This window comes from Homo sapiens, chromosome 2 (genome assembly GCF_000001405.40).
Source record: "Homo sapiens chromosome 2, GRCh38.p14 Primary Assembly".
NCBI lineage: Eukaryota > Metazoa > Chordata > Mammalia > Primates > Hominidae > Homo > Homo sapiens.
Window position 1 is genome coordinate 54808024 of NC_000002.12, and position 27032 is coordinate 54835055.

The 27032-nt window shown below is 38.6% G+C and overlaps 1 protein-coding gene across 10 annotated transcripts in view; it reads left to right on the forward strand.

Moving 5' to 3' along the window:
- Window positions 1-27032, forward strand: part of EML6 (EMAP like 6) — a 248474-nt gene that overhangs the window by 84472 nt on the left and 136970 nt on the right. For 9 of the 10 annotated variants that reach the window (XR_001738743.2, XM_017004098.3, XM_047444299.1 and 6 more), the window contains exons 3-7: window positions 5209-5368; window positions 8764-8862; window positions 12371-12439; window positions 19543-19728; window positions 21319-21454. Coding sequence is in view for 8 of the 10 variants with exons in the window: in XM_017004098.3 (XP_016859587.1) it covers window positions 5209-5368; window positions 8764-8862; window positions 12371-12439; window positions 19543-19728; window positions 21319-21454 (650 nt within the window). In the remaining 2 variants the exon portion in view is untranslated. Of the gene's footprint in view, window positions 1-5208; window positions 5369-8763; window positions 8863-12370; window positions 12440-19542; window positions 19729-21318; window positions 21455-27032 lie in introns of those variants that run through there. The other variant, XM_017004101.2, reaches the window with a different exon arrangement.

Below are 27032 nucleotides of genomic sequence, written 5' to 3' on the forward strand. Positions count from 1 at the left end.
CAGTTTTAGGGACCCCCCCTGCTTAACTATGGATTATACGGGTTCTGTGGGGTTCACACAATTCAGGAAAATGGCAATGAATTTTGCTGTTTTGTCCATGTTGCTGTCATTCCTGTTTGTGCTGCCCAAGCCCACCAGGAAGGCAGGGCCCTCTCTGTGGTGTCAAGATCACAGTTGTGGTGGGGTACTGAAGTGCTAAGCGCATCTCTTGGGACCAGGACTGGAACACAGCCATCCCCATCTGAGGTTCCACTACCTCCAGGCCACTGTTCAAATCAGGCCTGCCTTTGCCTTTTCTGCCTTGCAGATGAACATCCACTGAGGTTGGGTCACTCCCCCTTCAATCCCCAAAGCAGCAACCTCCCCTTCTGTCGTCAGACAATGCAACCTAATTTTGATGTGCCTCTGCCTCTGACATGGAAAAGCTGCTCTCAAGGTTATCTTCAGGGCAGGGAGGGAGAAGGCTTTCATGCTTTCCTGGTGAGACTTTTTTTTTTTCCAAAAACAAAACAAAAACAAAAAAAACTAAACATATAAATTATTACTGAGAGAATCACTGAAGCAGCCTGGGCAAAAATGAAATGAGGCTTAAGAATTGTGAACATTTTTTAAATGCTGCACTTGGAACAAGTGCTCATAAAATTTTTTGCCTCAAGGAATCAAGAATGATTAATATTGATGAGTGTTTTGTTGTTGTTGTTAAACTTCATAAGCAAGGCTGTTTCCTTCCATGACCCTTTTGATTCTCATCTTTTCTTTTTCACAAGATGTTTGGAAATCTTCGTGATCTTATCTGACATCAGGAAGACATGCTTTTCCCTCCTGGCATGCTAGAGAAACAAATCAATTTCTTCTCCCAGATAGGTTGATGAAAGTCCTTCTCTGCAGTGCTTTCTATTGCTATGGTAACAGAAGATGGGATTTCCCAACAGAACTAGGTTTATATATTAAAAAACAGTTCTTTCAAAACTTGATCCTTTTTTTGTTGCCATATATAAAATACAATAAATGGAATAAACTGAGTACCAAAGGAAAAACAGTCACACCAAAACTTTTTATGTAGGTGTGGAATGAGACTTTCATTGTCTTGAGACTCGCAATGAAAGGGAGTCAACTGTAAAAGTTTTAATATTGTGACAGTGCTGTCGTAGCTAAAATAACTTGCAAAAGTTGCAAGTCTTCTTAGAAAAGCAAAGAATTAAATATATGGACTCTCAATAGGCAGATAGACTTAAAATAGAGATAAGTAGTGTCCATACTTCCAGTCATAACATGGTAAAGAAGATGACAAGAAGCCCAAGGTAGAATAAGCATTTTGTGTGATGGTGGCACTCTCCGCTTCTGTGACTTGCGCTATGGGAGGACACAATAGTTGGCCATTTCTCATGAGATCTTATCAAAAGCCCAGGGATTCAGGGGACAGGGTTCTTTGCATCACAGTCCCTCAATTATATGCAAAGACCTGACCTTTTAATCTGCTGGTTGACTAACAGCATGGCTGGAGGGTGACTTCTGAGGCTCAGAGCACTCAGAAAGGAGCAGAGAGCAATTGTGAGGTAGGTAGAAAAGGATGGACTTGGTTTCATTTGGGGAAAATTCAAACATAATACTTCCCTGTCATTTAAAATGCTTCTGAACTAAAATTCCAAAGATGTGTGGAATTTTATTTATTAAATAAATACTTATTAAATAAATCTGTAACTCCACCATTATTGATACCTTCTATTCTCTTGCAAATCTAGTGAGTAAAGTTCGTGAGCTTTTCTCCTTTTTTGAGGCTTAACGTGCTTTTGAAATGACATGACAAATTTAAAATAGAAGTAAATGCCATTTGGCTGTGCCCTGGATGAGACATGGATGCCATTTGGCTGTGCCCTGGATGATACATGTCACTGCTGAAAGGGGTGGAGTTTCTGGGAAGCCTGATGGGAAAGGTAACAAATAGTAAAGTGAATAAAGGTGGTTCTCTGTTCTTGCTATTCTTGACATGGACATAGATAAATGGTAACATTATGAGTCACTCTAAGCAATCATGTTACATCAAGCCAGAGAGGTGATGTCACAGACTCTGGCTCATGAAAGGAGAAAAAGCTCATTTTCTTAATGTACCCAAATGGCAAAGGAGGACTGGAGAAAGGGCTGTAAAGAGATGATTTAACAAACAGTGTGAAGGAACTTCTGGCAAGAAAAAAAAATTGCAATGTGAACTTTTTAGTAAATGTGGTAAATTTATGGGCTTCAATATGAATGAGAAGAACAATAACCAGCATAAAAATACTTTAAATCCAAAATGTGAGGTGTTTTGGGGTAGCACTGCTTATTGAGTAACTAAGGCTCGTAAGTTATTTGAAGACTTGTTGAAATCTGTTTATTCCATTCCCCCCAACCCCGTCATTCAAAGAACTGCAATAAATCAGGAATTATGGAATTAGAACAACTGCTCGGAGCAGTGATTTATTATTTGCTTCTGGATGCTTCAGAATCTCAAGAATCTAACAAGTATCTCAAGGATTTTAAAATAGAAGCTGTGATCACAGCAAAATAGTATAATTTATATCTCTTGAAAGTGTTTCTGGCCTTCCAGGGGAAATATGCTCATTCTTCATTTTCTAGTCCCTGGGTAGAACCTCTTGCCTATTGCAGGGGGAGAGGCAATATGGCAGCCAAGATGGTTGGCAGCATTCACTCCCTCTTCAAGTATTTTGTTAATGCCTACTCTGCTGTATGATGTTCCAGGAACTGTTTAGAGTGATGGAAGACAGCCCCTGCCCTCACGGAGCATACAATCTAGTCAATCCTCTTCTTCCTAGCCTTTAGGACTCCAGATGTGATGCTAACCTGAGCAGTCTCCTTGGTTTCCCCACTAAAAATTGGATAGTTAGGCCATCTTTTCCCAGGATCAGGCTCATAGGCTTCAAACTTTACTGTAGCCAGGCTCTGTGAGTTACAAACCTTGTTGCCCGCACAAAATCTTCTGTCAACTTTAATGTGCCCAAGCTTGTCCTTGAGTCTCAAACATACTAAGCATTTCCCCCTCTGTTCTCACCCCCAGTAGCTCTTGACTCTTCTTTATCCCCTCTACCCATGTCTTCCCTCCCTGTCTCTCCCTGGTCCCTAACTGACCACCTTGCCTCTCCTAACACCCCTCACAGATCTGTCCTTACCCCTGCATTTCATCACTGCTAGGATTACCTTCCTAAATTATGGAACTGTTTATGCTGTGTCCTGCTGAAAATAGTCAGTGGTACCCTAATTTCCTGGCCTGGCTAAGGCAGCTTTCAAGAGCTGCCCCTGCCTGCCTGACCCATCTCATTTTCTGCCATTCTCTGTAAGACTGAAACTGTGGAGGACATTGTCTTTTCACGTGAATCCCCTTTGCACCTTGTCTTTCATATGAACTCGTGTCTTCCCTAATGTCCTGGGCAGCTGGTCACTCCATCCTCCATCTTTCTCCATCCTCCATCTTTCTGTGTTACTGTGTATGTATATTGACATATCGTGATTATTTCTTTACATGTCTCTTTCCTCTGAAAGTGGGCTCCTTCAAAGATAGCAGTGTGATTTCTGTTTATATGTCTATGGTACTGTCCCTGACATATCATAGGTCCACAAGGGCCTGTTGAATAAGTGAATGAGCTAAAATATACTGGTTTATCAACAGGGTTTTCAAACTGCTTCCATCCACTCAGCTTAATGAGCAAACATGGCATGCCATAATCTTGCAGTTTTCTGGGACATCTAGGTACTTTGAAATACCAGGTGTGTCTCAACAAAATTGAGATTGGGAGGGTCCTTTCTTATTGATAATCTCTCACCAACTGAATGCTGAAGTGTTCTACAACCTTAAAAAGTTAAAAGCTTATAGCATTCACCTGTTGTGAAAAGCAACCCTTCTATATGGGCTATCTTTTTGTATTACTTGCTTATGAAGATTCCTGAAGATATATTTTCCAGCAAGCACTTTTCAGATGTCCAACATGGATTTAAAGTACATATGTTGTTTTTGGAAGCCATATTATATTCACACAGGCATGTTTATGTTGGTTATAGATATATAATGCTGATTACACAAAAGACAAAATTTGTATTCAGTGTTCGCTCTGTACCGGGCACTCTGCTAAGTACTCTAGATTGACTATATCATCTATTTTCTGTATTATCTGTATTTTTAGATGAGGAAACTGAGGCAAAAGATGAAGTAATTTGTCCAAAGAACCAGAGATACTAAGGGCAGCCAACATGCAAATCCAGTGTCTGATATCAGAACATATACTCTCATTAACACCATGCCAAACACTGAAAAAAAAAAAAAGTCTACTTCCATTTACTGTGTTAAGCAGATACTGAAAATTGGAATGGGAAAATTTGTATTTGTTGATTGTATAAGCAGAAGTTTACACAATGAGCTAGTTTGCTATATAGGTAATGTGCTCTTGATTCCCAACGTCTGTTTTTTAGAAAGACACAACGCCTATACACAATGAATTTAAAACATTAGGGTGATTTTTTTTTTTTAATCTAGGAAAAATACTTCTCAACGGCTACTGACTCCTTAAAATACCAGTTGGTATTTGACGAAGTTTCATTTTTATCGAACTACAGAGAAAAATTGCTATACAAACCACAATTGTAATTTGTAGTTCTTTGGTGTCACAGTGATCTATGTAAAATGGAAACTTTAACTTAAAATTTGTAATCTATAGCAACAGACACAGAAACAGCACATGACTCTGGGACCCATTCATGCTTTGAAATCCTAATGAGGATAGTATCTAGTGCTTCTGCAAGTATGTTTAATTCCAAGAAGAGAACCTTCCCCTAGTAACAACATTTAAAAAAAAATTAAAGTCAAAAGCTAACTTGAAAACAAGTAATATTTTGAATATCAATAATTAAATTTCACAACATAAAGCAATTATAAAACTATACAGACGATTTTAAATTGAATAATTACAATCACAACAGCACCTAATTTTCAAGGTAACCAATGGGTAAGACCAAATGAGATTGTCAGACTGTGCTAAGCCTCTCTGCTAAAGTGAACATTTCAATTAGTCAAATCAAGTAATTAATTACTTTGGGGACAGTTCAGACTCTTTCTCTTGAGATCACCTTGTTAGATAATTTAAATGAGAAACAGATTTGGATAAAAGGTGATCAGTGTTTTCTTCAGTTGGAAGATGTGAAAAGAAACCTTTTCTCTTTCAGCCTTGCCTTACACCCAGACAAAACTCTCGTTGCAACTGGCCAAGTCGGGAAGGAGCCATATATATGCATATGGGATTCCTATAATGTCCAGACTGTGTCTCTTCTTAAAGATGTCCATACACATGGAGTTGCCTGCCTGGCTTTTGACTCAGATGGACAGGTGTGTATCTTTTTTTAGTTGTTTTATTTAATGACTTCTCACAACTCACTTAAAACTATAATAGGAATAGCCAGTAGATTCAAAGTCCATCAACCCTTGCTGGTTCTTCTGGCACAGCCTCCTAGAATTTTTCACCTGTTTTTTCCCCTTTAAAGCTATGGCACTAACACCAAACTCTGGACAGGCCTTGGTTTTTGTTCCCCTAGTCCCACCATCTGGTTAAAAAGCATCCATAAAAGAAGTCATGAATTCATGGTGATCAGGTTCACCATAGCCCAGTAATTCTACTTTGTTGTCTGTTGTTAGCTTCCTATTTGGAGTAAGGGCTAGACCAAGCCTTATTCATAGACGTCAAGCCCTGAGCATGTCTGTAGTACCTCTTGCTTTCAAAAGATGACATCACCTCCTAATAATCCACTGAGAAGATTATCCTTGACTCTTTACCCCTTGATGTCACTTTTAGCTGCTTCTACCTGTCCTCTCCCAATTCAGTCTATCATCAATTCCTGGGTATTCATGTTTCTTTACAGTAACTGACATCCTCTCCTTTCCATTCTTCCTGCCACTGTCCTTTAAGTGCTAATAAGTCAGTGTCATGTCTGACTTAGTTGAATCTCTTAGTCTCCTCACAGGCAATTTCTTGCTAATGCATTTCATCAACTGAAAACGGTGTGAAAGCATTGTTTAAAACCAATAAGAGCTTGGAGTACTCAATGAATAAAGTCCACACTTTGTAGGTGGGCATTCTATTTTAGCCAACTTTTCTAGACTTTTATCCGTTGTGCCCTCATAGTCGAATTGGACAAATCTGCAAGACTCCTATAGCAGACCTTGCATGTTTGTACCTCTGGGCCCTGCCTCAGTCTGTCCTGTCCACCTGAAGTGTCCTGCTCACCCTTTTGCCCATTGAAGTGATTCAGTCTCCAAAGGTTTTCACAAAGCCTTGCCAATCCCTCCCAACAACATTTTCTCTTCTTCCTTTGACTTACAGCAACACTGGGCAGAAAAGATAGGTTGATACGTTCTAGAAAAGAAAGTAAAAACGGAGGGGTCATTCCTGGCTCCGGCTGCATTCATCTCCTCCCTAAGGCGGGGCCTCTTCTCCTCATCTCCCCAACCGCCTCCGTTTCCTGTGCCACCCTTCCTCTGTCTCTCTCACCCTGCGTGTTTCTGCCTGTTAATTCCTTCAATCTAATTTTTGACAAGTTTCAGAGTTAATTCTGTAAGTTGGTGCCATGCAAAGATCTGTGAAATTATTCATAGAGGCTTAACTGAAAGTCTGTGGGAAATTCAGTGGATTATAGGAGTTGACCTGGGTTGAGTCACTTTTGAAAAACAATTAGCATTTACTTGCTGTTTTCTGCTATTTTAAGAGAGCATCGATCACTAGTCATTTTTCTTTCTAGAACTAGATTTATTACATATGTAGACCCCTGGAATATATGTTCTTTATTTTACTCCTTTGTAATCTCATCCAGTTAGTCAGTTTAATGCATGCATTCCCTTTTATGGCTACATAAAGAGATAATAGCTGGATGCTAGTATTTGTTCAGGCTTGCAGTTATATTGACTTCCTGAATAAACTGAAGTGAATCAGAATCCATACACATGTACAAGTATAAATGTATGCTTATGTCTGTACTGGTATGCACCTTCTCTAATCGGATTTTGTTATTCAAGCAAGCATTCTTTATCAATTTGTTCTGAAGTGTCACAAGAAAATGTAATGCAGCAGAGGAAAATCCAGCTTTAAAAATCCAGCTTTAACTTCATTTTTGTCCATGTTAATTTATGTTAGAATCCTAGCTATTCTCCTTTAGGTTTCATTTTGAAGGATGGTGGGTGGGGGTGGATTGCATGGTACTTAACTGTCAGGTGAGAGAAATAACCTCTTGTATGTTAGCCATGGTGGATTTCCTGGCTTGTTGATGGCTATTTCTTCAGGTCCTCCTTACTCCCTGGACAGAGTTCACTGGAATCGAATGATATTTAGAAATGACAAATGGTCCATCACCTCACAATAGACAAAAGGCAATAAAAATGCTTTTCAGGTAGCTATGGGAACTGTCACTACAGATGAACAAAATAGGTTTCTTTCAGCTTTTTCTCCATCAGGAAATGTGGGTTTTACTTCAGTGCCCCTATTTGTGTTCACTGCTTTTTTTCTCTTGAATAAGCTGAATGGAATTCACCCATTCAGATTTTCTTATGAATAAAAATACAACCACATCTTGTTTCCATTGCTGAAACCCTCAGTTAAAAAATTATAGCAAAGAAATTTCTTAAGGACACATTAAAAAACCCTCAACGATGTGTGTTATATTAAAAATTCCTAATGGAAGCCATCTTTAGTGAAGAAAGCTGAAGAATCCCTGCATAACAGCACATGTATACATTTAACCATATGTGGCTGTCTGTTTCATCCACACTGTGAGTGTGCATATACACAGACACACTCTCGAATGTACTCAGTACTCACACACTCTTACACTTGGGGAATACCATATTTTTAAAACCCCTTTAATTTACATACTTCACTTGACCCATACAACAATCCAATAATGCAGAAGGAATGATTATTTTTTATACCCATTGTACAAATGAGAAAAGTGAGATTTAAGGAGGTTAATTTTGCAAGGTGTTATGTCTGGCTACTTAAAAGCAAAAAGAAAAGCCAAATCTACTTATAGTTCAGATTTCTTACATAATACTTTCTCCTTATAAGTGATATCCTGCAAGAAACTCTGATTTTGGTATGACTGTTGCCTGTTTTTCACACTTTTGGTTTTGTATATAATCATGTGGGTTGCATTTTATTCTTACTTTAAGGACAGGTTCTGACCTGAACCCAGGGAATTTAGGCTGGGAGGTGAAGTACCAGATTACTTCTACTTAGATTATATTATCTTGTAGTCACCTTAAATGTTTGTGAAATTATAGAAAACTAAAAATTAATGTTCATTTATTCTATTCGTCAAACCCTTAAATTTTAGCAGTTGGAAGCTTTTAGACTATAGAATTCTGGGTTCTATTAAATCTCACATTAAGATTTTACCTAAAAATTTTAAGTTAAAAATTCCAAATGCTGCTATCAAGTTCTGTTTCTGTAGTTTCTATTGACGTTTCAGAGATCTCCTGAGAGTTTATATGTATGTTTCTTACACTTAAAAAGGATAAAGGAGCTGTAGCTCTTAGGTTCTTGAAATTTCAGCATATACTAATGGAAGTCATCATCTATTGTGTTATTTTTAGTTTGGGGTTTAAGATGGGTTTTGAGAAATCGGTTTGTTATAAGAAATTCAATGCCTAACCCATAGTAAATAGTAACTATTTCTTAACGTGTCAGTAAGTCTTCCCATCACTTTTAGGTACTAAATTATTGTTCTTATTCTTAGCGTTTAGCCTCTGTGGGGTTGGATGCCAAAAACACAGTCTGCATTTGGGACTGGAGGAAGGGAAAACTTCTGGCGTCAGCCACCGGCCATTCTGACAGGGTAAGAACTTGTTGGATCAAGCTATGCAGATTTCAGAACTTGGGGGGACTTGTGATATCGCGTCTCAGACTTCTAATGTTTTTAACAGTAAATATTTCAGTATACATTTTTTCCTATTAAACTTATAATCATCCTCTTTTTTCATGATTAATAGCTAACTGTGTTAATGTGCTTCTGGTGATCAAGTACTTTATATGAATTGTTAGTGCTTTTCATAGGCAAAGCAAATTTTTGATGCTGGCATTTTACTTTATGAAATCAAAATGGAATTGAATTTGAAATTATGTGTAGTTTAGATGTATTCATTTAGAAATGGAAATAGTTGTTAGAAAATAGTCACAAAATATGATTACAAGGGTATGCATTTTAATTTTGAATGAGTGTAATGACAACTTCGTGATTCTTTGTTGTATTTGAGAACATAGAATGTGACCTGCTTACTCCTGTTGAAGTCAGTGTGATCAAAAATGATAATTCCATGTAGTCTTAGGGGATGAAGGGGGTATATACATATAACTGGTCAGAAATCTAATTTGCCAGTGTCTTGCATAATTAAAATAATTTGACTCCTTTATTATCTTGGTTTCTCTAAACAATGAATTTGCATGACTGTCTTACTTGAATTCCTAGTTGTTTTGTATTTCTGCACAATATAAGTGTTAATGTAGAATAGGCATTTCCAGTCTTTTGGCTTCCCTGGGCCACATTGGAAGAATTGTCTTGGGCCACACATAAACACCAACACTAATGATAGCTGATGAGCTAAAAATAAAATAATCTCATAATATCTTAAGAACGTTTACAAATTTGTGTTGGGCCGCATTCACAGCCATCCTGGGCTGTGGGTTGGACAAGCTTCATGTAGAATGAGGCTCTAATTAAACATGAAATTCACTGTCTCTTGCTTAGAAGGAACTCTTAAAAAAAAAAAAGTATGAATGGCACATTGATCTATGGAGGTTTGTAGTTGTAAGGAGACCCCACAGATGTTGCAAATTCTACTCCAGGATCAAGTCTTCAGAAAGCTCAGGAGTGACCAACAATAGAACCTCAGTACTGGAAGAGGCCTGGTACCCCTCTCGTCCAGTAGTTCCCAATCCTGGCTACAGATAGAATCCTCTGGGGAGACTTCACGGCATATATATACACTCATACATAATATTTTATCTGAGTTACTCTGCATTTACTGCTTCTATTTCTGAGTCATTTTATATAGTCTGACCTGAACTAGTATACTGTCTGTCAGAATTTTGGGCCTTATCACCTTGGAAAAAGTAGAAAACTAAAGTTACAAACAGTTTAAACCAGTAAAATCTCCTTACTTAGAAAAATAGCCTAATGTAATCACTTTGGCTTGTATAGAAAGAGCTTTTATTGTTAAATTATTACTGTTAAACTAAATTTGGCCTCAGCTGCCCTCCATATGGTAAGTCTCTACAAAATCAACTGCAACCTAGCTTGCTAAGTGACCAAACTGAAAATTTAGGGGTATACTTCCGTAACAAATAGCTGAGTGGCAGCCAGCTTCAGCCAATGGCAGGCTGCCATCTATTCAGACCATGCCCAAATAAAGCAAATTCGGTGCTGAAACTAGGAAAGCTGTTCCTGTACCTCAGTTCATTTTCCCCAGGATACATATGCCTGCCCAGTTGCAGAGCAGAGCTCTCTGAACCTCTTCTGGTTCTGAGGGCTGCCCAATTTGCAAACAGTTGTTTGCTCAATTCAACTCTGTTAAAACTTTAGATAAATTGAACACCTCTGGATATCATGTGACTTGCCTGTATGTTTCAGTGACTGTGCATGTGCTATTGCTGTGCTACCGCTTGCCAGTAAGGGTGAAATGTAAAAAGTATAATAGGACTATAGTGATGAGTCTGTAATCTTAGGATGTTTTAATGAAATGCTTTATTTGGAACACTGTTCTCCCAGACCCCATAATCTGTGTCACACATAATTTTGCTCTTTATTACTGATACCAGTATGAATTATTGACTGCTTATGATTAACTTCAAGATTATCCTCAAGATTATTTTAGTGGCACTAAAATACTTAATCCATTACATTTATATAATGAATGTTTTATACCCTGCAAAATGACTTTATATACCTTATCTTCATTGACCTTAACAAAACTTGAGGTGGTATTATCCACGTAGAGAAGATGAGGTTAAGGTTAGAGATGCTCAGACTTGCCTGAGCTTGAATGGCTGAAATGGATACTTGGACCAAGTACTTTTTCTTCAGTGATCTTTCTGGGGACCATAATTGCTCCTTTATATGTGATGAAAAGTTAGTGGTCTAGGTTATTTCTCTGGTCTAGACTTTGTCCCTGACAAGTAGTCCTTCCCTTTCTATCAGTGTGTCATGGAATGCGTTCCATGGATCTACCTCCATCAGAATCTCCTGGAGTCTCTTTAAAGTGTTGGGTATCTGGGCCCAATTCCAGACCCACTAAATGAGAGCATCTCAGATGGGCCCTGGAAATACCTGTTTTAAGCAATTGCTATGGGCAATTTGATTCTCAGGATTGACCTTTTCCTTCTTGTCTCTGGATTGGAAATAGAACTACGTGCAAACTGTCTGGTAGCTCTTGTTAAAGAATGACAAATAGGCCGGGCACGGTGGCTCATGCCTGTAATCCCAGCACTTTGAGAGGCCAAGGCAGGTGGATCACGAGGTCACAAGATTGAGACCAGCCTGACCAACATGGTGAAACCCCGTCTCTACTAAAAATAGAAAAATTAACTGGGCGTGGTGGCACGCGCCTGTAGTCCCAGCTACTCGGGAGGCTGAGGCAGGAGAATTGCTTGAACCTGGGAAGCGGAGTTGCAGTGAGCCGAGATCACGCCACTGCACTCCAGCCTGGTGACGGAGCGAGACTGTCTCAGAAAAAAAAAAAAAAAAAGACAAATAGTAGTTGCAGATATATTTTCAGTTCATTGGATAATTGAAAATACAATAGTATGTTGGGTCAGATTAAAATGATAGCCTGAGGGACTATTTAAGTTAGTGACAGATAAATCCCTCTGCCTTACGTTTAGGAATATTAACTTCTGTGATTACTAGAGACTGTTGGCCGCATTAAATTGTAGTTAACTATTGAATGTTTTCCTAGCTAAGAAGCATTTTATAATTCTTTAAATTTCTATTGAAAAGCTATCTCCAAAGTGTTAGCACTGTGGAGTGCTATTGAAAAATTTGATCAAAAATTTATCCTAAATTGTCCATTTGTTTATCTCAAATGGACAAAATTAAAAATATGACACCAGTTTGTTCTAAATAATTATGGTAAGTTCTCTCTCTACTCAGGCCTTAAGGTAAGTAGATATGAGGTGATAACGTGTGTGTTAGTTCCTGACTCATTCCAAGCCAAATCTTCCATTTTTATTCTGTGCAGGTAACATTGTGTTCTAAATGTTATAGTAGAGTCTTGGCAATTGGACTAGTATTGGGAAAAGGCAAAAATATACCAAATGATCAACATGGCAACTTTTAATGTTTTGAACAGATTTTTGATATTTCCTGGGATCCATATCAGCCAAACAGAGTGGTTAGCTGTGGAGTAAAACACATAAAGGTAAAGCTTTTTGTTTTTTAATTTTGGTACCTTGAGTGCAAATAATTTTAGGTGTTTGTATAGATAATTTGATGTTGAGAGACTGCTAGACTTTACATTTTTTTTCTTCAATATAGAGCCCTCTTACCTGTTTCTCTGCTCCTGAAGCAAACTAACATCAGCTGATGGGGCTCTCTCTTAGAAATGCAAAGTAATGACAATCAAGTGAAGTGCTCCGCAGGCAGCTGAAAAGGAAATTTTATGTTAATTAAATATCGAACTGAAGACTCATAATACTTGTGGGATTGCATGTTTTAAAACAGTGCTTATTTTAATGTTGTGAAGTAAGTTTTTCCATTATAATGAATATTTACATATTTGCATGTCAACACTTTGACATGTTATGTTCCCTTAAAAGAAAGGTGTCAAGTTGTGCTCTACATGGAAATAGAGGAATTCACAGTACAAACCTATCTGGACCATTGGTTTTTAAACGCCCCAATCTTCCTCTAGACTACACTCTCATCTGGGTAGACCTACATTTGCTTCTTACTATTTTGTTCACAAGTAACAAAATTAACTGCATCAACATGCTTTGCTCTGACATAGCAAAAATTTCTCCTGACCCCTGGGATATAGCCCAGGATCTTCTTTCTCTATAGGATCGTAAATAATGTAAGTTAAAGTCCATAAACAAGAGTATAAGGATTACTTTCTTGAATAGAGCATGCATGGATTCTGTACAAAAATGGTACATTTCTGTATGAATGAAGATTTTCCTCTAACCAACCCCTCCTATTTTGCAGTTCTTTTAGTCTAGTTTTTCACGATCCTTCCCATTAGTCTTACTTGGTTAGAAGGGGACAGAGGATAAAATACTCAAATAAGTATAAGAAATATGGAAGACTTACCTAAAGAATGTTACAAAACTCTGCAGAAGAATGTAAAACAATACTTGAACAAATGGAGTGACAATGTTGATTCTGGACACGTCTAAAATTTACAAATGTATCATTTATCTCCAAATTTATATTTGGTAGAAATGCAGTTAAAATCCCTATTACTTTTGTTTTTACCTGACAGAATTTCCCTTTAAATTATCCTAAATTAATCCGGAAGCATTAAATAATGACAATAACTATGAACTTTGGGATAAAGAATCATGAAGAGGATATATGTACCACTATTTACTAAAGCATAATAGAATTTAATTTAAATGATACAAGACTTGGATACAAAGAAATAAAAAAAGCTGAAAAATAGACCTTAATATGTATGACAACTTAGAGTATAATAGCATCTCTAACTGGCAGGCACAAATTTATCAATTTTTTAGAAAAAGTCAATACTTCATACTATACACTAAAACAAAGTCTATATGAATTAAAGAGGTAAGTTTCAAAAACTATAAAATAACTAGAGGAATATATAGGCAAATATTTAACTGCTCAAATTGGAGAAAGATTTTTTTAAAATGTAAAAGCAAAGAAATCGTAAGGAATAATACTGATGCAACTGTAGAAATATTAAAATATTCTGTATAATTCCTTTTTTCCACAAAAAGAGGGAAACCGCAAACTAGCAAAAGTATAAGCAACACACAAAATAGATACTGGGTTGTTCTCAAAATGCAAAGATCTCTTGCAAATCCGTAGAATGGACAAAGAACATAGAAAACTGACAAATAGAAACACTGTTGGCCAATAGACTTATGAAAATGTTAAAATCTAATTAAGGAACACAAATTTTAAAATAACAGCATTTTAAATCTATCAAATTTATGATTGAAAGTACCGTATCTTGGCAAGGATTCAGTGAATGACCACTCTCAAACCTTGCTGGTAGAGAGGGGTAAGCTGATAATGGTCTTTCAGCCAAGAAATTTGGAAATATTTATCCTTAGAAATGTCAATTCTCTTTGATCCAGTAATTTCATATCTTAGAATCTATCCCAAGCAAATTGTTAGAAGTATGAACCAAGAGCTGACTCATTGCTGAGTAACTTATCAATAGCAAATAACCAAATAGAAGATCTGAAATAAACCAAACAGAAGATCTGAAACCACTTAAGTGTCTCTAGGAAGTTGAATAAAATGTTACATCCATATGATGAAACACTGTACAATCATAAGTTATGTTTTAAATGATGATATTGGGAAATATTCAAAATCTATTATATGGGGAAGTTTACAGTTTACTTTGGGGGTTGGGTTATGGTGGGATTAGATTTGTGGCTTTTTTTTCTTTAAAAACATTTTTATGTGGGAAATACATTAGAAGGACTTCTCCAAATGTTAAGCAGTTATCTCTGGGTAATGGGTTGATGGATAATTTTATCCCTTGTATACTTCATTGTAAAATTATTTTACAACAATATATATTCCAAAATAAGAAAAAATTTAAAAATGGAGAACAAAAATTTTAGAGGTTCCACTACTCAAAAGTGTAACATATTCCATCAACACTTTAGGGCTTCATAAACATTTAATAATCCTGTACCAAGCCCTGATGTGTATATTTTTAATCTAGGAAAACATCAGCTGAAATCTAGGTAGTTTGCTTTATTAGCAGCAGCTGGAGGCTCCTTCTGTGCTTGGTACAGCATACCTGAAAGACCAAAAACTCATTCAGTTTAATATTTGAGTTTGTACTAGGTGAAAGAAGAAAAACAGACGCCACTTTCAATTTGCTTGAAGTTTAGCCATTAAAACATTAAGACAGAATGTTTTGGAAGAAAGGTAAAAATCAAAGCCCTCTATCGATAAAGATGACATCCCAGCTGGCTAGAAGCATGTTGTCAGGATGGAGATGCTGCTTAGGCTGAGCCTCAGTGGGTGGGTGAGTTTGGTAGGAAGGGTCGGGAGGCAGAACTAGGCGAGGGGTTGCACTTCTGTCAGGAGTTAAGAGAGGCATTGGTCACCCATGGAAGTGTGAGACTGGGGAGCTGGGTGGGTCCTTGGCTCATGATATGTTCCAAGATTACCAATGTTTTCATCACCAAAGAACCTATTCCATAGTTTTTTTTAGGGAACAAATATTTTGAAAGATGGCGGCCACAAAATAAACTAGCCAATAAATCACGGGTTCCTTAGCAATGTTTTATTAGTCAAAGATGTTATCTGCCAACGTGAGTTTCTGATCAGACTAAAATATGAAAATTGTTTCAGCCATGAGTAAAAAAAACATGTGAGTTCATAATGATCCTGATTTCTGTTAGGCTGTGGTGGGTTTCTGGAAATCTGGGACCCTATCCTGGGAGCCATCATCCATCCTGTACTCAGTGGTGAAGAAACCCAGGACCCTAGGGGGTTAGGTGGGAATCTGACTTTGATTTGTGATTGTTTCCCTCTGCTTGACTCTGGGCAACCATTTAATCTCCCTGAGGCTGAATTAATATTCATTCATTCATTCTCTCTCTCTCTCTCTCTCTCTCTCTTTCTGTCTCTCTCTCTCTCTCTCAGAGAGAGATCACTACCTCCTAAATTAAAGATAATTACATTAAAGAGTATGGAACCCAGTAGGGGCACAATAATGTTAATTTCGTTCCCCATTTCCTAGGGTCACAAAAATGATGGCACAGGTGAGATTTAAGCTCAGCCTCTGACTCCTATAGAGCTCTTTACACTGAGAAATTTCTTTAGTGAACTACCTTGCCTTAACTTTTTATTGGGTTCTAACTAGATTTGCTGCTTAATTGATAGAATTCTCCTGATTCCTTCCTATCTCTTTCTGTCCTTGGTTAACTCTAACTTTTAAATCGGTAAATTCTAAAAGCAGAAAAGCAGAGACAAAATTCTGAAACTTTATTTGAAACAAGAGCTACTTATCCTGTTTAAATTTAATTGTCTTAGCAGACTTGGACATTTTTTCTAAGCAAATACAAGCATTTTTACCTCAAAGAATCTGGAATGTCTACCCAGCAATACTTTATTAATTTTGCTTAGAAATATAATACATTTAAGCGGACTTCAAAAAATTATTTTTGCTGTCTGTATTCTCTATATCCAATTACCAGGATTTCTCCACTTTTTTTTCCCCAGAAAACCTACCTTAACATTGAATGATTCCAGTCATAAATTGAGTGCAAAATCTTTGTACTCAAAGAAAATACTTTCATCTGAAATTTGTATAGCTAGGGTGAAATCCTTTTTGGCTTTGTAAATCCCCTATGTTTTGGCAAATAGGAAAATTGCAATTATCTGAAACGAATGCTTGAAAAACAGTAACAGTTGAGCATCGGCTGCTTCACTGGTTTTATAGCAAATGAGCCTACCGGGTTTGTGGATACTGTTGAGCCGTCTCTAGTCAGAGACAGAAGGGACTTCAGGGACTACCTAGGGCTAGATGAACTCAAGGTACCTGCCAGCTCTAACAAAATTTGCATTACAGTCTGTGGGTAGAGACTGCAGAAGATAAACAAGGTCTCCTCATTTGATGTGAATTTAATGATGTGTTGCTACCCTAAACTGCCACTGTTTTCCAAGTAGGAAATGCTTCTCAAAAAGAGATAATATTTCAGGTATTTGCCATTTTCTGCAGAAAATAACATACATTTTAGGGAATCATTTGACTCTTTGGAATGTTTTCATGTGGGCCTTATACCATCTGACCTGGTGACTTGTCAATAAACTTTTATGTAGATCAAGTCTGAAGATAATGGGTTCTATTTTTTGTGACTGTCTGTCTGGAAATATTCAGATAACTCAGACGGGGGGTGTATATCCAAAGTTAAAGGACAAAATAATTATTTTAATCTTCATGCATGAGGAGGTGTAAAGAGAAAGGGAACTGTCTGCCTTAAGCATTGCTATGAACAGCAAGTTCTTTGGCATGTTGGTGCAACCAGTAATCATTTATGTCTAATAGTTTGTTCAGGTTCATAGTAACAGCTTAAATGTTTTCCAAAGCTTATACCTAACTAGCTTTTTCCTAGATCTCTTTATTCTTTATTAAAAAAAACTTTATTACAGGTGTGTGCTACCACTCCAGGCTAATTATTTTTGTAGAGATGGGGTTTTGCCATGTTGCCCAGGATGGTCTCTAACTCCTGGGCTCAAGTGATCTCTCTGCCTTGGCTTCCCAAAGTGCTGGTATTACAGGCATGAGCCACTGCACCTGGCTGCTTTATTATTTCAACATATACTTCAACACCTTTTCATTAATAATACCCAAAGAAATGAGTTACCAGAGCTGATACCTTTTTCTGAGAAGAGAATCCGATTTGGTCCTTCATTGTGTATCTGCCCTTCATTCTTGCCAAGGCATCCCTCTATTCCTTAACCCCCTGCCACGCACACACATAGGACAGCCCCCCACCCCCAGCTGCCTGAATCCTGGCCACCTTGGGGGTATAGCCATCCCAGAACTGTTTCCTCTAGTACCCAACTACTCTGAGAGGACCATGGTTTTTCCTCTCCTACAGGTGTAAAATAGTACAATGTTACTGATTTACTCCCACATGCCTGCCATGTGGCTTCATCTCATCCTGCTTCTCTGAATCCAGATGCAGTTTCTTCCTCACTGCTGATCCAAGTCCTACTCTTGTTCATTCTGTTTAATTCAACTTAGTTCTCTACCTTTGAATTTCCTGCCACCCGGGCACAGTCTGAATATGCTACCTTAAAATTATCTCATTGTTTCATTTGCCTCTGCATTGATTCAGAGTTGTCAAAGCAAAGACAAAGATTTCAGTATTTTTTCTAACCCCATTGAACCCTTATCTTCAGTGAGCTACTTCTGTTTGCTTTCCCTCCCCTCCAGATGGAGATGACCATCCTGTCTACCTTAGCCTATTAAAGGTTTTGATAGGATCAAATAACTTAGCATATGCAAATAGCCCTTATAACCTGAGGGGGGGCTATATCAAGGGCAGTGAGGTTATTCTAGTTGATACATGAAAACTATGTTAAGGTTTTGAGAGGCCAAGTGGGGCAGATCACCTGAGGTCAGGAGTTTAAGACCAGCCTGGCCAACATGGTGAAACCCCATCTCTACTAAAAATACACAAAACTAGCTGGGTGCGGAGGCACATGCCTGTAGTCCCAGCTACTCAGGAGGCTGAGGCAGGAGAATCGCTTGAACCCAGGAGGCAGAGGTTGCAGTGAGCCAAGATCGGGCCACTGCACTCCACCCTGGGCAGCAGAGTGAGACTCTGTCCCCACCTGCCCCCCCAAAAAAACTATGTCAATACAAAATATTTTGTGTCTGTTTAACCATAGGAGTGTCCTTACTGCCTTGTATAAAATTGCTGAAGCTTTGTGTATGGTCTTCTACACAATGGACACATTTTATGCAACTAAAACTGAAAAGCCGAGTCAATTATTTGGGTATATGGAAATATAACTCATATTTATGAAACGTTTCTAAGTAACATTTCTACAATGAAGATTTATAACACTTAAAGTTAGAAATTATTTCCAAATATATGTACACTAAAAATACCTAGATATAGCCGAGTGCAGTGGCTCACACCTGTAATTCTAGCACTTTGGGAGGCCGAGGAGGGCAGATTACTTGAGGCCAGGAGTTCGAGACCAGCCTGGCCAACATGGAGAAACCCTGTCTCTACTACAAATACAAAAATTAGCTGAGCTTGGTGGTGCACTCCTATAATCTCAGCTACTCAGGAGGCTGATACACAAGAATCACTTGACCCTGGGAGGTAGAGGTTGCAGTGAGCTGAGATGGCGCCATTGCATTCCAGAAGTTACAGACTATCACAATTTTCCTTTTTATACTTATCTGTGTTTCTAAACCTTTCTACAATAAACCTATACTACTTTTATAACTTGATAAAAAACTAAGCAAAACATGATTTGTCCACTTGATTCCAACTCTGAGAACATTATCTTCTATTAAATCACCATTAAACAATGAGCAAAGCTTTGAAATTTTGGAACTTTGAAAGTTTTAAAAGTGTTGTTATAGGCTTTTCTTATGTTCCTGGTAGTTAGCTAAAATGCTTTTGTGTTACATGTTGTTATGTTACAGCAAAGCAAATTAACTTATTTGTGCCTAGCTTGGATAGAGCACATTATGTGAAATGCACTGAAGTATAAATAAACACCAATGCAATACATCCGAATACTCTATCTTGGAGATCTATTTTATCACTTACATTGTAGTTTTGGACACTGTGTGGAAATGCCCTGACTGCAAAAAGAGGGATATTTGGCAAAACAGGGGATCTTCAGACCATCCTTTGCCTTGCATGTGCCAAAGAAGACATCACCTACTCTGGTGCTTTAAATGGTGACATCTATGTCTGGAAAGGGCTCAATTTAGTCCGCACCATTCAAGGAGCACATAGTGTAAGTATTACCTTGTGGAAATCTGTGGGTGACCTACCAAATAAGGTAAGACCACGAATCCCTCCCTGTATGTTTCCCTTCTTGCTTTAGAATCAGAGAACCCTGCTGAACACTCCCTACTCATGATAATTTCCCATATTACATTTGCTCACCTAAAGGAAAATATATTTCAAAAGCATACAATGTAATTAGCCCTCACCTTAACTATTAATTGCTTGATTTATGTCATCCACAGTAGTTTGACAGAACACTAGAACTAGCTCATCAGATTCATCTTATAGGCACTTCTCAAACTTTAATGTGCCCATGAGTTTCTGGGGAATCATGTTAAAATGCAGATTCTGGCTCCATAGGTCTGCGATGAAGTCGCCACAGCTCATCAGTGACCCATAGTTTGAACAGGAAAGGTGTAGATAACGATTGCTCTTGTATTGGTTGGTAAGATAGATTTTCCTCATTCTTTATGTTGAGGTGCCAGGGTGTCACCTCCACACCAGTGTCATGAGCTCTTAAGGTACAATCAGAAACCATTGATAACTACATATCTTCTGATGGTCTGCTCAGTAAGAACAAGGAGAAACTTCTTACCACTCTGCTCTCTTTTTTGACACACATGAAAATGACTACATTGTTGTATCTACAAATGATAAAATTGTCCCTATAAATGGGAAGATGATGTAAAAGGCAAAGCCTATCATAGTGAATGGAAATTGGGTAAAGATGTTATTGGAAATGGTAAGCCTTTAGCTTATTGCCTCCAAATTGATTCCCTATACCCTTAATATGAAGAAAAGTTTAAGCAACTCTTAGAGCTATGACATTTCAGATCTTTCACTATATGTTGCAGGTGAATTTTCTTGGCTTCACTAATTATGAAACAGCTCTTAAAATAATAGGTCAGTATTTGTCCTCATTCACAAAAGCAGCTGTCTTAGTAACCTAATTTCTTTTTATACTGGATCTTATGTCAACATTATATTCTTGCAGCACTTTTGAACAAACCAAATAAAGTATTTTCCTGTGGAGGAGCATCTTGAAATTCCTAAAACTATTTCCCATGTGAAAATCTTCAAACGATGCTTAACAAGCGAACACAAGTGCTATTTACATTTTCATTTAGGTTCAAGTGATACCTTTGTGAGCTCACTGAGGTACATTTTGGGCACTTTTGTGCCTATGAAACTGTTCATGTTCCTAGCCTCTTATCTCTACTTAATTATTTTAGGCAGCAACTTCCATGAAACACCTCCATAGTTGTCTTTTCTCTCTAAGGGCCACTTATCACATAAAATAATTTGATTCCCATATCTGCATTAATTATATTTTTGAATTTTTTTAAACTGTAATCTTTTTAGTAGTGGTAAAAGAGCACTTGAACTAGTTTGCTTTTATTATTATGATTTTTTAAATGTAGCTGAGATGAACAGTGTTATAAATGGCTACTTGGTCTATTGTCAGCATTTCAATAGAGAACAAAGGGGTTTTATTTTTGTTTTTGACTTGCTATGTTTTTAAATCAACATTCAACTGTATCTATTCATTATACTTAGGATGGTTGCACCATTGAGTATTACCTGTTTTAATCAACAGGCTGGAATCTTTAGCATGTATGCTTGTGAAGAAGGCTTTGCCACTGGTGGGCGAGATGGGTGTATACGACTGTGGGACACTGATTTCAAACCAATAACCAAAATTGATCTCAGGGAGACAGAACAAGGATACAAAGGTAATATATGTGTTAAGCTTACCTGTAACTCTGGATGTGAAATATAATGTGAAGTTCTGTATTCATATTTGTTTCTCTGTACCCCATTTTAAAAAGGCAGTTTATATAAATATATTGAATACAAGCAAAAGTATGTTAAAAGTAAATGGATGTCCTTTTTCCTAATTCGCACAAATGCATCTGCATGAACCAGCAATGCTGCAGCCAAAATAAGCATTCTGATGAAGTTGCTGAGGTTTCTTAGGAGATGGGATTGTCAGTGACAAAACTGAGACGTTCTAGACAAGTTGGTTACCATTAAAGTGAATGTACCCAGCCTCTGAAAACAAACAAATGAGAGGAGAAATGAGACAAATTTTGTTTTAAATAGCTTTAAAGTAGTAGATAATTATAGTAGTAGGGATTAAGAGCATGGGCTCAGTCATGTGGGGTGGGTTCAAACTCTTTTTACCTATGAGAGAGTTAAGAAATTGAACGGCAGTCTCAAATTTCGGGGCATCTGTTTCCTCATCTATAAAATGGAGATAATACTAGCACCAGCCTCCCATAGTTGTATGAGGATTAAATATACTTAGAAAATGCTCAGGATGAGGACTAAATATACTTGCAAAGCGCACTTAGCACTCAAACTGTTAGCTATTCTCACCATATATAGAGTGTATATATCAGAATACAATACATCTTTTAAAATTCTCATGGTAGGCCTGTTACCTTTTGGCAGACAAAGAATTTACAGCCGAGAAAGATTAAAGTGGAAAATGTAAATAGGTAAGACAAGAGGAAGTCATAGCACTGTTAATACGCTAAGCACAGGTTGGGAGGTTCTGTTCACTCCCCACAGGTGGGCCACAGACCCTGCGCCAAGGGAGGGGTACATGGTACTGTGAGCCATGGGGGTCCACAGGATGAAAACTTACCCATCGTTGTTGTGAAGGGGAATCTTTTTCAGTGCCGAGATGAGGGAGAAATTTCCTGAGCATCTTTTAGAGAAGACCCTGTGACATAGGGCTCAAAGTCCTCAACAGGCCTGAAACGAGTTGTTTCTCCTGGGCTGTTCCTCATGAAGCCCCCGCTGTGTGACCTGATGGCGATGCTGCCACAGAGGTTGTTCCATAGGCCAGATCATGTGGCAGTGCGCGGTGCTCTCTGCCGGCCTTAGGTAGATTTCAAAGGACTGGGAGAAAACAGCCTAGACGGCATATCCTTCAGGCCATCCTTAAATAGTGTTGTTTGCAGCAAAACTTTGCCAACAGTTGAGCAACAGGGAAATGAGCTGGATATTGTACTTCCTGTTTATACCTGGATGCCAGCTGCTTTATGTATCTGTGAAATACAAAAATGTGCATCTAAGTCAACTAATCCAGGATTGGACTCTTGTCTTCTCACGGAGGCTCAGGATGCTGGTGTGCATACGTTTCTGAATACTAGGCACAGAGTTTGGCATAGGAAGTTGTGGAATTTGGTGTCTACCTCAATGTAGGGACAAGGAGATCGAAGGCCTTAAGTTCTCTGCCATAGAGTGTGGGCCAGGGAAACTTGATCCGGAAAAAACATGCCAAACAGATATAAGCTTGCAAGTACCCGTAAGAGCAATTTTTTTTAAGTACAGTAGCCAAAAATGTTTGGTCCTGAACCATGAAACTTCTTGGTATATCTTTCAAGGTAAACCAGAAACCAAAACATGTACTTAGAGAGCAGAGTCAACTTGCCAGATGGGATTAGTGACCATAAACTGCCTAAACGTTGGGGAGTACCAACCAGGATTCATGACTCTTTTTGGCAGTTACTCCATTTAACTAATCCAAAAATTGTATCACATAATTAAGGCATAAATTTTAAAGCATGGGGATCAGCTAAGAAGCCATTGGTTTACGCTGCTATACTTTTCTGCCCAATACTGAGTCCTTGAGCCTGGCTCTCCTGGGAGAGTTCAGGGACCAGTTCTGAATGAGGATCTGTGTAACCAGGTGTGGTACTGATCACATCAGCCCCACAGCCAACTCCCATCTACAGAGTTAGGACAGTCAGCGACGCCCTCCGTTATACATCAGTCTCAGATTCCCGCCCCATCCTTACCAAGATCAAAGCACATCTGGCTGGTACACGGTGGACACTGGGAACCCGAAACAAGCCTGCACCTCATAGGATGTGCCTGCCCTGTGGTGCCTGGGCTTGGCGTTGACCAGGGATTGGTGTGCATCTTAGATGGCTTACTGATAAGGCGGTAGCCTGCATTTTGTAGGGAGAAACAGATTGTGCTTTTAAAGGATGGTATAGATCATGTTCCAGTTTGAGTCCCAGGGAGTCGGAGAGGGCACAGGGGCTGGGATGGAGCTCCTGGGAGAGTGGAGATGGCACTGCTTAGCATGCAGCCCCACAGTGTGGATGCTGTGGATGATGTTAATTTTAGAATTGCTGCTGACGACCAGTACTCTTAATTGCTTAGTATTTTACTTTAAACTGATTAATATATCTTTTTAAAACTTTGCTTTAAACTAATATTTGTGACATGAGTTTAATATGCTGGGGTTTAATTTTTGCCCTTGGAGCACCCACCTAAAATTATCCTCTCCCCCTGGCTTGGGCAACATTGTCACAAAAGGCCACTGTGTATCATCAAGCATCAAAAGAGATGCCTTCATTCCAGTCCTCAGTGAAAAAACAATGTACATGTAGCATCAAAAGAAGAAAGGCTCCTGGTTTGAATTACTGGTAACAACTAAAGTCTGGCCCACCCATTGCTTCCAACTTAGGGAGTTCTTGAGCCTGCATGGACAGGGTCATGTGGGGAAACTTGCTCTGAATCCCTCTCTAAGGTGCTCTGTTGCGCTCAGCCAGGCCTTGGTGCCATTATTGCACTGAAGCAAGGAAGGAGGATGTTGAGTTCCAGAGCCACCTTCCATAGCTCCGAACAGGGAGAGACTCTCAGAACCGGCCCTCCTGTGGTCTTGGAGGCTGGCTGCCTGGGCCATCCTGTGATGGGGCAGCCTCTCCAAGGCAAGTGGAGGTGTGCCCCAAATCCAAAGTGAGGTAGAAGACCCAACACAAGTGTAGGAATTAAAATACATAGGATTTGAGGAGATAAAAGTAATCAAGATGTAAATAGCTTTCTGGCGTAGCTCCCCCTTCAGCCAGGCAATACCATACCCTTGGTTGTTTCAACATTAGCAAAGAGCTGAGCAAATAAAAGGGAAGGAAAGAGGGTGGGAAAAGAGCAAAAGAAAGCAGAGTGGACAGAAGATGGTCAGGTGTCCTGTCCTCCCCACCCCCCCGCCAACCCCTCATCCCTTCCCTCAAAGAAGGCTTGGCCTTCTGCTCCACCTCTCTTTGCCTCAAACAAACCAAGTATATTCGAAAGGAACAGATTCAGGCAGAGCAGTGTTAGACTTCCTTGCCCTCAGTTTGGACATGAAGCTTCCTTGTTCTCAGTTTGGACATGACAGTTTTATTTTTATAAGAACTATCTTGATATAAATGAGCTTTCTTCTGTATTTTTGCTATTTGTGAAACAGCGACACTCGAATTCATTTCAATGGAAATGTAGCGATTTCTCATCTTACTCAAACAGCCAAATAGTTTTCTAAACAAATTTAGCAAGAGAATTAATCATGGCCACGGCCCAGTTCCCATGACATGGTATGGGTACTTTTCTATGTTCTATAAATTTAAAAGTATTAGCAAAAATTAAGAAATTGCTGCTTACTAGTGTTTAGGAATCTGAGGGTATTTATAAAGATCACACTTAGTGTGCCACCTGTAAAGACTTCTGTTGCTCCTCCTGTAGACATCTATAAGATTTACAAAATGAATCTGACAATTTCCAAGTTGTTTAATGGAAATCTTTGCAAGATTGGCATACATTTGCATCTTCTAATAACTATTAACTGTTAGCCATCAAGAAAGAAGTTTTAAAATGAACTAAGATGGATACTAAGCTCAGAAAAAAATGATATGGCTTTGTAATAAAGTGACATTATTAATTCTTTTACATCTTTGTAGTAGCTTGAGCTAATTAGGACACTTGACTTACAGTAAAAACAATTAACCCCACTTTAGGTTAAGCGTGAATGATTGGAGATGGGTCACATTCACATCAAGAATTGGTTAGTGTCAGATCTGATTCTCAGGGCTCCCTCCCTTCTCCCCAAGGGTTAGTCAAAGAAAATGTCACTCACATGATGAGGAGGGCCATCCCTCAGTGAAAGGGAATTGTAGAGTTTTATTTGCACCGGTGACTTGTGCATCTTTTGTGAGTTATTGCATTTTTGCTGACTGGGTGTTCAAACAAGTTTCTGTAGCAACAACAACACAAGATGATATAAACCAACAACCTAATTCACCCAGGATCCTTCATCTGCAATTCTCAAAGCCAAAAGGTTCAGAATACCAGAAGATTTTCTAAATAACTAATTCGGCAGCAAAACTTGACCTGATATGAGGCTACTGGGTGTCTTTATATATTTTGTTATAGAAATATTTAATTTCAAGATGCTGCCTCAGTTTCTGCTGGATATATTACAAGTCCAAAATCCACATTTTTCTGAATTCCAAAATGCATCTGGCACCAAAGGATTTCAGCTGTATGGGGTGGTTGTCCTCCAATATACATCTTAGTGAATATAAAATTCTGGAATTTTCAGGCTGGGAGACACCCTGGATGTAAGGCGGCGGTGGCGGGGCATGGGGAGAACTCCCTCACTTCATGGATGGTACAATGAGGCCCAGGGTCATTAGCATCAAGCTAATTGTAAACTGAAGTCACTCACTCATACCTCACACCAAACTTCACAACAGTGCATGCTGAGTCTGATCACTTTTAAAACACATTTATGATCTGGGTAAAATAATGAAGCTTGAGTAACTTATAGTGGTGGCAAGAAAAGCCAAAATTCTTAAAGTCCATCAACCAAAATGAATTACTTCTAGGATAATAAAACACTTTGGGTTAATGGTTATAAATGATTCTGTCTAAAGGAATACAGTAATTATTCACACAGTATAAGATGTATTATTTACTTATTTGTCCACTCAGTAAACATTTATTAAACATCCAAGTGCCAGATACGTGCCTAGGAACTGAATAGGAAGTCCTGAAAAGTATACTTCAGTCAAGATTATATTTTAGGTGTGAGTGGAGGTCGGGGGAGTTCTGTGGGTTTTAACTACCAACACATATTTATTGAGTTGTTGCTGTGTCTAATGGACTATAAACTCCGCATCCAGAAAGAACCTGCATTAGGTGAATCACTGAGCAAGAATTAGAGGCCAAAGTTCCAGGACATGAGATGCCCTGCTTAGACTTGTCACTATCTCCACTGAACCTTCTCTGGTCAGGCCACCACCATCTTTTACATAGAATATTGCAGTTGCTTTGTAAGTTGCATTCCTGCTTCGACCACCATCCTCTGCACAGCAGCTAGAGGGATTATTTGAACTTTATGTGAGCCAGATCACATAATTGCTTTCCTCAAAACCCTGCAATGATTCATCTTACCCACAGTCAAAGTCCTTATGGCAGCCACCACCCTCCGCATTGCGCTGCTTCGCCCTGGCTGCTCCTTCCCCTCGCTGCTTCTCC